The sequence below is a fragment of the Homo sapiens genome, chromosome 6 (assembly GCF_000001405.40).
Source record: "Homo sapiens chromosome 6, GRCh38.p14 Primary Assembly".
In the NCBI taxonomy this organism is placed as follows: Eukaryota; Metazoa; Chordata; class Mammalia; order Primates; family Hominidae; genus Homo; species Homo sapiens.
The window spans coordinates 78197865-78210519 of NC_000006.12; the positions used below are offsets into that span (position 1 = coordinate 78197865).

The 12655-nt window shown below is 39.2% G+C and overlaps 1 long non-coding RNA gene across 1 annotated transcript in view; it reads right to left on the reverse strand.

Moving 5' to 3' along the window:
- LOC105377865 (uncharacterized) overlaps nucleotides 1-12655 on the reverse strand; it is a 374941-nt gene that overhangs the window by 271984 nt on the left and 90302 nt on the right. Inside the window, exon 2 of the long non-coding RNA XR_002956359.2 lies at nucleotides 5998-6089. This is a non-coding gene — a long non-coding RNA (uncharacterized LOC105377865). The remainder of the gene's footprint in view (nucleotides 1-5997; nucleotides 6090-12655) is intronic.

The following is a 12655-nucleotide window of genomic DNA, read 5'->3' on the forward strand; positions in this document are numbered from 1 at the left end:
GTTTCTTATCAAAATCTGCTGTTCATGTTTATGGTGATATTTAATCTACTGTTTGACATTGACATATGAATTTACCTAAGATTTCATGACCTGTTGAAATGTTTTTTTCAGAAACATGGCCTTGGAGCCCAAAGTAACATTAAAATTTAACATAAAATATTTGTCTTAGGAACAGACTCCAATATAGACATGACTATGCAGATTTAATTAGAGTTTTCTCTGACATAGGGAACAATACCTGGAGGGCGTGAAGGAAACTGGATTGTCCAGGGGAGAAGCTAAAATTTAATACAGTAATACTATAAACTAAGAGGAGATTTGAAGCTGCCATGGCGTTACAAATTGAGGCAGGGAGCTGGGTCTTTGTACCCCAAATCAACTAGTCATAGGATGCTGGATGCCCCTGAGGAAGTAACATAATCTGGATAAAGCATATCCCTTCAGCCAGAGAGAAATTCCCAGAGAGACAAATCAGCACAAAGTCACCAGCAGACAATTCTTCTGACCCTGAAAGTGCATCCGGGGAGCATAGGACAGCGTCCATTAAGATAAATTATTGGGTATCAAGAAAAGAAGCAATCTTTGCTCTGATTTCCTAGCCCATAGACTGAACCTTGGCTCCAATGGAACTCTTATGCCCTTGTGTCAATACAGCCATTAAAGTTGGCTTATAGAAGTAGTACTCCTGAAGTGAAGATGAAGTGTGAAGAGACTGGGAGGGTAGGCGCCCCAAATATATACAGCACAGGAAGGAACATTCTTCTATGCAAAATTATTGTTTAATCCTTCTCCTCAACACACTAGGAAGATATAGTCAATGTGCTGGCCAAAGGAACCAGGATCAAGATTTTTGACCCAGATGACTGAAGCTGGAATATGTCATTTAGAAAAGGTTGCTCTGAGAAAAAAATTCCCATAAATATAAAGCTGAGCTAAACATAAGGATTATATAGTGTTAAACACAGAGAAAGCAAGATAAAAAAATAAGGTCCTGGGGACAGAAACACAAATTCAGGCACTGAAAATAATTAAAAATGAACTAGAACAAGTTGAACAGAAGAGAGGATGACCCTGGAAAATTTCTCTAAACCCTTCCTGAGTATGTTTAGCTTATCCTTTTTGAATATTGTGCATAGGTTTTGATATAAAGTTAGAATAGAAAATTATGAATGGATACTTTTAAGAAAAGTCCTTTTCTTTATCTTTTTGTCTAAAAGAAGGCCCTTATTTGCTACCTACTCAGTAAGCTTTAAGCTTCACGCAGTGCTATAGTTTGCATATCCATCCCTTCCAAACCTCATGTTGAAATTTGATCCCCATTTTAGTGGTGCTGGAAAATGAGGACTAACGGGAAGTGTTCGGTTTACAGAGATGGATTGCTCAGGAACACATTAACAGACCCTGGGGGAGAGGGTGTGACTACTCATTCTATGAGTTCACCGGCAAGAAAAGATAGTTGTTAGAAATAAAAGAGCCTGTCACTCCCCGCCCACCCTGACCCTCTACATCTACCCCCACCCTTGTTTCCTCTCTGGCCATGAAGAACCATGAGCCAAATAAACCTTTTTTCATAAATTACCCAGTCTCGGGTATTTTTTTTTTATAGCAACACTAAACAGATTCAGGCATCCAGCCAACACATATTACTAATGAAATTTTAAAAAGAATAAGTTCAGCTGATAAGCAACTTCAGCAAATTCTCAGGATACAAAATCAATGTACAAAAATCACAAGCATTCTTATACACCAATAACAGACAAAGAGCCAAATCATGAGTGAACTCCCATTCACAATTGCTTCAAAGAGAATAAAATACCTAGGAATCCAACTTACAAGGGATGGGAAGGACCTCTTCAAGGAGAACTACAAACCACTGCCCAGTGAAATAAAAGAGGATACAAACAAATGGAAGAACATTCCATGCTCATGGGTAGGAAGAATCAATATCGTGAAAATGGCCATACTGCGCAAGGTAATTTATAGATTCAATGCCATCCCCATCAAGCTACCAATGACTTTCTTCACAGAATTGGAAAAAACTACTTTAAAGTTCATATGGAACCAAAAAAGAGCCCGCATTGCCAAGTCAATCCTAAGCCAAAAGAACAAAGCTGGAGGCATCACGCTACCTGACTTCAAACTGTACTACAAGGCTACAGTAACCAAAACAGCATGGTACTGGTACCAAAACAGAGATATAGACCAATGGAACAGAACAGAGCCCTCAGAAATAATGCCACATATCTACAACTATCTGATCTTTGACAAACCTGACAAAAACAAGAAATGGGGAAAGGATTCCCTATTTAATATATGGTGCTGGGAAAACTGGCTAGCTATATGTAGAAAGCTGAAACTGGATCCCTTCCTTACACCTTATACAAAAATTAATTCAAGATGGATTAAAGACTTACATGTTAGACCTAAAACCATAAAAACCCTAGAAGAAAACCTAGGCAATACCATTCAGGACATAGGCATGGGCAAGGACTTCATGTCTAAAACACCAAAAGCAATGGCAACAAAAGCCAAAATTGACAAAAGGGATCTAAATAAACTAAAGAGCTTCTGCACAGCAAAAGAAACTATCATCAGAGTGAACAGGCAACCTACAAAATGGGAGAAAATTTTTGCAATCTACTCATCTGACAAAGGGCTAATATCCAGAATCTACAATGAACTCAAACAAATTTACAAGAAAAAGACAAACAACCCCATCAAAAAGTGGGCGAAGGATATGAACAGACACTTCTCAAAAGAAGACATTTATGCAGCCAAAAAACACAGGAAAAAATGCTCATGATCACTGGCCATCAGAGAAATGCAACTCAAAACCACAATGAGATACCATTTCATACCAGTTAGAATGGTGATCATTAAAAAGTCAGGAAACGAGGTGCTGGAGAGGATGTGGAGAAATAGGAACACTTTTACACGTTGGTGGGACTGTAAACTAGTTCAACCATTGTGGAAGTCAGTGTGGTGATTCCTCAGGGATCTAGAACTAGAAATACCATTTGACCCAGCCATCCCATTACTGGGTATATACCCAAAGGACTATAAATCATGCTGCTATAAAGACACATGCACACATATGTTTATTGTGGCACTATTCACAATAGCAAAGACTTGGAACCAACGCCAATGTCCAAAAAGGATAGACTGGATTAAGAAAATGTGGCACATATACACCATGGAATGCTATGCACCCATAAAAAATAATGAGTTCATGTCCTTTGTAGGGACATGGATGAAGCTGGAAACCATCATTCTCAGCAAACTATCACAAGGACAAAAAACCAAACACTGCATGTTCTCACTCATAGGTGGGAATTGAACAAAGAACACATGGACACAGGAAGGGGAACATCACACACTGGGGACTGTTGTGGGGTGGGGAGAGAGGCGAGGGATAGCAATAGGAGATATACCTGATGCTAAATGGCAAGTTAATGGGTGTAGCACACCAACATGGCACAGGTATACATATGTAACAAACCTGCACATTGTGCACATGTACCCTAAAACCTAAAGTATAATAATAATAAAATTTAAAAAAGGATAAGTTCAAACATGTTAATTAGAGAGCTATACAAGAGGAAAAGGGAAGTTATGATTAAGAATCATCTTGCTGTTTGTATGGAATGTTTTTATTTTGTCATCAGGAAATTCACAAATAGGATCTCGGTGCGGGTAAAATGAGGTCAAAAAGCTTTTCTCCTTAATCTCCTTAAAAAGCAGGACATCCACATTTTATTGTAAAACCTTCTGCCATTTTCAAGCAGAATATTGACCATGAGGACAGCAGAAAATTTCTGCATTTGACTTTTTAAAAGAAAGTTAGATTTTTAAAATTGCTTGATAGAGTATACAATCTGAAGCTTTTCAAAACAAAAAATACAAAGAAAGCAATTTCTCAAAAATGTCTTGTACTAAAGGATTAGTTATTAAATAGTGTGTAAATGAGCTTTTGGTGGTTTAAAGAGATTGCTCCAGTGGACCTGTTAGAGGCTCTGACAGGGCTCACAGAATTGAGTAAAGTGGGAACGTACTTCAATCACTAGTTCCTGTTAAGTTGATACCTGTTTTATTCAGTGCATCTGACCTTTGAGCTTGACAATGATTCTTTGTAAGTGGGAGCTTAAAATGTCATCTGTAACATAAAATATAAGGTATGTGGGTGTTACAAAAGTGTTCTGTCTCTGTAATGGAGTGGCTCTTGGGAGAGTTCACTACCTAGGGATCTTTTATCTGTGAGCCATAGTTGCTGGCAGACTTTACACACGGGCTTTAAAGTCAATGTGTGCTCTGTGTTGAGACTTTAGTGGACAAGTACCTCTGTGGTCAAAGTTCCTGGCACAGTTTGCTAAGACAGAAATGAATAAGTACTAATTTGATTCTAGTCTAGCTTATTATTTCTTCTCTTATGTGAACATTTTAGGTGGTAAGTAAATAGTGGTCACACCTGCACTGTCAGGTCATCAGTGCTTGTAACTGAGTGCAGACCTGGCTTCTCAGTGCTTGCAAAACCAGTAACATTGTCAACGTGCAGTGAAATAAAAGTGACTTTATTTCCAGAGCTAGCAGTGGGGAAATGGTTAAGGCTTTTGCCTTGAATACAACATTTCAGGTTTTTGTGTCAAAGGTAAAGGCTTAAAATGGGGAGTTTGGTATAATGGGCGTACAAGAGTGATGAGGTAGTGCCAGTCTACATGATTGTTCTAATGACTATCTTGAACTGTTGTCCCATCTGGTAAGTGGGCTGGCACAATCTTGAGTACACCAGGTTGCAAATTAACTGCAGCCTTGAAGTAATCTCCAGGTGGCAGAGAATCCCACAGTGGCCTGACTGTTTCAAGATTTAGTCTCTGGAACTTCTAAGTAAATACATAACTAGGTAAAGGAAACACTGTGCAGGGGGGGGATGCCTGGTGGAAAGCAAGACAAGGAACAGGCAGGAAAGTAAAAGAAAAAAAAACTTTTAAAAACAAGATGCTTGGTTACAGGCTGAGGAAATGAGAAGCATCCTTGGAGCAGGAATCTGGAAAACTGAGTTCTAGTTGCATCTTTGCTATTAGCAATGAATGTGACTATACACAAATTACTCTGTTCTTTGATGGTTAATTCCTCAATTATAAAATGAGATAAAATCACATAATCTTTGCAGTCCCTTCCATCATCTTGATCCTTATATGTCATATTACTTACCTGTATTTCAATAAGCAAAGCAAATTTGTTGAGATGCTACACTGGAAGAAAGGTTATTTCTGTGGTTCTGAAAACACAACCAGAAAATCCATAACATTTACTCTATCGGGAACTCCATCCGAGTTGCTACGGAGTGTGAAAACTAAAGTATAGTTAAGACTTTATATTTATGAAAAAGTCTGCATTTTAATAATCTGGCATACTTAAATATCCTTCTTTACATATTTTGACTTCTTCTATTACTAATCAGTGTTGATGACAATGAAAACTATAGGTGTATTTTGGAAAGTCACTAAGAACTCCCCAGATATAGGTTTAAGTTGTATTTTAGAATATGTAAACCTTGTAGCTTGTCAAGAGTTCAGACTCCTTTGATTCAAGGACAGAAAACTCAACTCACAATGACTTAAACAAAAGGAAACTATACAACTCACACTGACTTAAACTACATTGGTTTAAAAGTTTGAGGGTTGGGTTAACTATAGGCGAGGCTGCTTTCAAGGGTTCAGATTATATCATCGTGATCTGATCCTTCTCTAGCCTCTCCCTTTTATGTGACTTTGATGGCAAGATGACTACAGCAGCTTCAGGTTTATATTCATCCGGTTCAAAACAGTAAGAAATATAGCGTACTTGTCCTCCAACTCTTCTAACAAAAATCTCATTGCATTTCATTGTATTTCATCACTTGCTCATTCCTACATATATCAATGAATCTAAAGAATGAGATGCTCAGATTGATCATACTTTATTCCCACACTCAACTCAGGAGCAAATGTGAAGCCTTACCAGAAGCACATGAGCTGAAAGTCAGGAAGAGGATGATTCCACAGAGCAAAATCAGGGTACTGCTAGCAGAAGACAGGGAACTGGATGATGGGCTGCAAAATAAAATATCTCTATTAAAGTATAAATCTACTATATTATCAAATTATTACATTTTCACTGATTTATTTCAAAATTAGGAGTATTTTTTTCTGCTCTTGTAAATCTAACCAAGTAGCAAAAGTTGGCTGCCATGTAATGTATATCAACCTGTACTGATATCACAATAGTATTATTTACTAATGTCAATGTTAAGAATAAATACAATGGCTTTTAATACTAAACAATGTTGCTAAAGTTAAAAACTGATGTAAACTCAAATCAATAAAAATTGAGCTTTTATGCATACATTAATGGAAAGTGGGGATCCTCTATCTCAGTTTTTGCGTCAAACTATTTTGTAGAAAATCCTAGAATACTTCAAATAATCCTCCAGGTTCCACACCGCAAAGTAGTAAGAGTGAAGCAGATAATCTTGTTTGAGCTTCAAGGTGCTAGTCTTCCTCCTCTCCAAGGGCTAAATAACAAACCTCATAAGAAAATTATGTGCTAAATCTGAAGGGAAACATAGATGATCATAATTTTGAAATGACCTTATAATCTCAAAGAAGAACTTTCTGGATAAAAACTGGATTGGAGAATGAGAGGTACACACAAGGACAAAGTGTGACCCTTTTTCCCTCTCCTACTTAAGGGAAGACATCAGGGTATAGAGGGCAGGTCAAACCTGACTTACCCACTCACTCATAGAGAAGAAGGCCAATGAGGCCACTCAGGGATGCAAGCAGTGAAAGACAAATAAGGAGATGGAATAAAGAGACTTCTGCTGGAGGAAAAGTTCCTGACCTCCCCACTGATTCATCAGACATGAAGAGAAAAAGAAAGTATTAATATGATGTCTGGTTCCTGACCTTGACATAGTAACTCCAGCTTCCTGAAACTTGGCCAAATGAAGGTTTTATATTTGGAAAAGTGGATTTATAAACTCTACTTTTGCAAGGAAGAAGACAAGGGATGTGTACCAGAGTAGAAAAGTATGCAGAAGTGTATCTGCTCACAGTTCCCTCTGTGGGGAGGGAAACAGAGTTCTCTCCTATGTGGAAAATATGAGGAAGGGTGGAAAGTTTCCCCCAAATATTCAGCCACTATTGGTTTTAGATGAGAGTATGAGCATGTGTTAAAAGGCAGGGTTATTTTTGCTCTTAGTTAGTGTAATAGACAGATCTGTGCCTGCTCCCACCAAACCCCCAACCCCAACAACGATCTTCAATTCCTAATTTCAGAACCTGTAGATACATTACATTACATGACAGTTGCCAATCAGTTCACTTTAACAGAGAGCAGTTATCCTGGGTTATTCAAGTGGGCCCAGCGTAATTATATGAGCTCCTAATAGCTGGAAAAAGGAGTCCTACAACTGCTAGGACCTGAATTCTACAAGCCCCCAGAAAGGAATGCAACCTGCAGACTCCTTTATTTTAGTTCACTGAGACATCTACCAGAGTTCTACCTACAAAAATGTAGGATAATAAGTTTGTGCTATTTTAAGCTCTTGCATTTGTGGTAATTTGTTATAGAAGCATTACAAAAAGCAGAGTACTTAGTCACATAAAAGGCTTTGTAAAGAGTTCGAAGGTATGACTCAAAGATTCCCTAAATTAAACCAGAAAATATCTCTCAGAAGATATAAGGCTATTTGTCCTTCAGCCATCTTAGCAAAATCCAAAATTGGAGATATTTTCTAGGAATGATTTGTGAACAAACCTCTTATCTAATGAAGTGAATCCTGTGAAATGCATGAGAGACCCACAAGGTGCTTGAGAATTTTATATTAGCAGAAGCACTGCTAGCATGAACTGAAAAGGTATTAAATAGTATTAAAAGAACTAAATAGTATTAAATGAAAGAAGGATGTTAGACTCTCAAAATTCTGCAGGCAGATAACATAGGCTGATAAAACCATTCAGCTACAAACACATGCAATCCTTTAGCCATGAAAGAAAGGATGAACCAAAGAACAAAGCTTTAAGCTCAGAAACTAGAACCAGGAACAAAGGAGAATTACTCTGAGGCCTTGAAATCTAATAAAGTTTGTCTGGTTGTATTTAAAAATTGTTTGAGAGAGGTGACTTTTTTTCTTCTAATTTCTCCCCTCTCAAATCAGTATGTCTATAACAATTAACTGATGACTGTCCCATCGTTGCATTTTGGAGGAGATAACTAGTTTCCTAGTTTTATAGATCTACAAGTAGAGGGAAATTGTGACCCAGGATGGATTATACCCAAGACTCACCCATAACTTCTTTGAATTTTGTACATAGTGAGATTTGAGACTTTAGAACTTATGAGATTTAGTACTTTTAGTTGATATATAATAGAACGAGACCTGTGGAAACATTGTGATGGGGTGAATGTGTTTTGTATGTGGGACAGATCCAGAGGGTGGATTGTGGTAGGCGGAATGACTCAAAAAATGTCTAAAACTTAAATTTTTATAGAAGCAACAGAAAACTAATAGCCAGTGGTCTTTCTGTGAACTTGTGCTAGAAATATAATACTTTACAGCAGGAAGCACCTTAGGCAGCCTGTAATTCATTTCCATTATTGTCTAGATGCTGAATCCAAGGATAAAAGTTGATGAGATATTTATTCTATGTGCCATAGCTCCTTTCTGTCAGAGCCAGGGATTGAATGTCTATTTCTCTATTGAACAAACAAAGTTCATATTATCCTCTGTTTTCAGCACTTTATTTTCTGTGCTCTGCTTTATTCTCTTTGACTTTTGCCCCAGGAACCCTCTATGAACACTGGCTGCCTTCAATACAATGCTGAGTAAAGCTCAGCATTACCTCAATTCTTTACCCTCCTGTCCAAACTGATCATTTTATTTTCAAATTAAACAACCTTCAGCTGGCTCCCCTGTTTCTTTGACTTTTGAGAAAGTGGTTTCTGTGAAGTCAGTAATGTGTTACTTCTAAAGATTTTTTCTTTTAATGGGCTAATCAATTAAACATCCAAACAGAGGAGATAGTATTGAAAAAATTTCAAAAACAATAAAAAAGTATTCAAGTCTTTTTGAGTGGGTAAGCCCCTTCTGCCTATGAGCCTGTGAAATCAAAAGCAAGTTAATTACTTCCTAGATACAATGCAGATACAGACATTGGGTAAATAGATCCATTCCAAATGGGAGATATTGGCCATAACAAAGAGGCTACAGGCCCCATACAAGTCCAAAATCCAATGAGACAGTAGTTAAATCTTAAAGTTCCAAAATAATTTCCTTTGACTCCATGTCTCACATTCAGGTCACGCTAATACAACAGGTGGGCTCTCATAGCCATGGACAGTTCTGCCCCTGTAGCTTTGCAGGGTACAGCCACCCCTCCAGGCTGGTGTTGAGTGATGGCAGCTTTTCCAGGTGCATGGTGCAAACTGTTGGTGGATCTACTATTCTGGGGTTTGGAATACTCTGGCCCTCTTCTCACAGCTCTACTAGTCAGTTCCTGAGTGGGGACTCTATGTGGGGGTTCTGACCCCACATTTCCCTTCCTCATTGCCCTAGCAGAGGTTCTCCAGGAGGGCTCCAGCCCTGCAGCAAACTTCTGCCTGAGCATCCAGACATTTCCATACATCCTTTGAAATTTAGGTGGAGGTTCTCAAACCTCAGTTGTTGACTTCTGTGCAGTCACAGGCTCAACACCACGTGGAAGCTGCCAAGGTTTGGCGCTTGCACCCTCTGAAGCAATGCCTTGAGCCATACCTTGGCCCCTTTTAGTCATGGCTGGAGTGGCTGGGCTGCAGCAAACCAAGTCCCTAGGCTGCACACAGCAGGGGATCCCTGGGCCCTGCCAAGAAAACCATTTTTTTTCCTCGTAGGCCTCTGTGCCTGTGATGGGACGGGCTGCTGCAAAGTTCTCTGGCATGCCCTGGAGACATTTTCCCCATTGTCTTGGTTATTAACATTCAGCTCCTCATTACTCATGCAAATTTCTGTAGCTGGCTTGAATTCTCCCCAGAAAATTGTTTCTTCTCTTCTATTACATCATCAGGCTGCAAACTTTCAAAACTTTTATGCCCTGCCTCCTCTTGAATGCTTTGCCACATAGAAATTTGTTCTGCCAGATACCCTAAATCATCTCTCTAAAGTTCAAAGTTCCAAGATCTCTAGGGCAGGGGCAAAATAACACCAGTGTTTTTGCTAAAACATAGCAAGAGTCACCTTCATCCCAGTTCCCAAGAAGTTCCCCATCTCTATTTCAGACCAGCTCAGCCTGGACTTCATTGCCCATATCACTATCAGCATTTTGGTCAAAGCCATTCAACATGTGTCTAGAAAGTTCCATACTTTCCTACATCATCCTGTCTTGTGAGCCCTCCAAGTCGCTAGGAAGTTCCAAACTTTCTCCTATCTTCCTCTCATTTTCTGAGTCCTCCAAACTGTTCCAGCTTCTGCCTGTTACCCAATTCCAAATTTACTTCCACATTTTGGGTTTCTTTACAGCAGCACTCCACTATTCAGTGTCAATTTACTGTATTAGTCTGTTCTCATGCTGCTATAAAGAACTGCCCGAGACTGGGTAATTTATAAAGAAAAGAAGTTTAATTGACTCACAGTTCTGGATGGCTGGGGAGGCCTCAAAAAACTTATAATCATGGTGGAAAGGAAAGCAAACACATCCTTCTTCACATGGTGGCAGGAAGGAGAAGAATGAGAGCAAAGAGGGAAAAACCCCTTATAAAACCATCAGCTCTTGTGAGAATTTACTCACCATCATGAGAACAGCAGCATGGATGTAGCAGCCCCCATGATTCAAATACGTCCCATTGGGTCCCTCCCACAACATGTGGGGATTATGGGAACTATAATTCAAAATGAGATCTGGGTGGGGACACAGCCAAATCATATCACCCTAGTTTAAAACACACTTATGACTATTCTAGGGCCACTTTCAAAATACTATACCACTTCATGGATAGTGCAGGTGCCTTATGACAGGATATTCTTGCTTCTTCCCTCCCATCCCTTATAACATTGTGCTCATTCATTTCACTTACTCAAAAACTATAATTACTAAACTGCTGCTATCATTATCTTGAACAAACTTGTTAGATAAACTAAGAATAAGAAAAGTAAAGTACTTTATTTTGATTTTACCTTCATTTTTCCTGCTCTAGTGTTCCTTCTTTCTTTGCATAGACCTAAGTTTTTGACCTTTATCATTCTCCTCTCTGAAGCATTTTTAACATTTCCTGTGAGACAAGTATACTGACAAGTTTTTTGAATTTCTGCTTGTGTGAGAAAGTCTTGTTTGTCTTTCATTTTTTTTTGTTTGTTTTGTTTTGTTTTTTAATTTTGAGATGGAGTTTCACTCTTGTTGCCCAGGCTGGAGGACAATGGCACAATCTTGGCTCACTGTAACCTCCACCTCCCAGGTTCAAGCAATTCTCCTGCCTCAGCCTCCTGAGTAGCTGGGATTACAGGCACCTGCCACAATGCCCGGGTAAATTTTTTTTTTTTTTTGAGATGGAGTCTTGTTCTGTCACCCAGGTTGGAGTGCAGTGGCACCTCTCGGCTCACTGCAAGCTCCGCCTCCTGGGTTCATGCCATTCTCCTTTCTCAGCCTCCCAAGTAGCTGGGACTACAGGCACACACCACCACACCCGGCTGATTTTTTTTTTTTTTTGTATTTTTAGTAGAGACGGGGTTTCACCATGTTCGCCAGGATGGTCTCGATCTCCTGATCTCGTGATCCGCCCGCCTTGGCCTCCCAAAGTGCTGGGATTACAGGCGTTAGCCACCGCGCCCGGCCCTAATTTTTTGTGTATTTAGTAGGGACGGAGTTTCACCATGTTGGCCAGGTTGGTCTCGAACTCCTGACCTTAGGTAGATCCACCCACCTCAGCTTCCCAAAGTTCTGGGATTACAGATATGAGCTGCTGTGCCTGGCTGAACAGTTTTGTTCAATACAGAATTCTAGGTTGGCCTTTGTTTTTTTTGTTTGTTTGTTTTTCCTTTTAACACTTTAGATATTTTGCACTAATCTCTCTTGTTTGAATGGTTTCTGAATAGAAGCCTGCTGTAATTCTTATCCTTGTTTCTTTTTTGGTAAGGCATTTTTTTCCCTTTGGCTTCTTTCAAATTTTCTCTTTGTCTTTGCTTTTCTACAGTTTAAATACAAATTGCATAGGTGTGGATGTTTTGATATTTATTCTGCTTGCTATTCTCTGAGATTCCTGGATCTGTGGTTTGCTGGATGTTCTTAATTTTGAAAAATTCTTATAATTCTCATTCCAAAATTCCCATTGTTAAGGAGAACATAGCTTTCTGGACATATTTCAAAATGGCTACTTTTTTCTTTCTCCTGCTAGAAGCATAAAGGAATGTTACTCCGATCTTTACTGTAAGAATTTGGTGGAAGCTCCTGGAGGTAAATCTCAAAGTGTGGGCTCCCCTAAGAAAAGTCCTCCAGAGTTTTTAATTGTCAAACTTGTCTACAATGAGCATCTAGATATTTGTCAACTACACTTTAAGGCAGGGGTCCCCAGCCCCCAGGCTGCTAACTGGTATCTGTCTGTGGCCTGTTAGGAACAAGGCCACACAGCTGGAAGTGAGCAGCAGGCG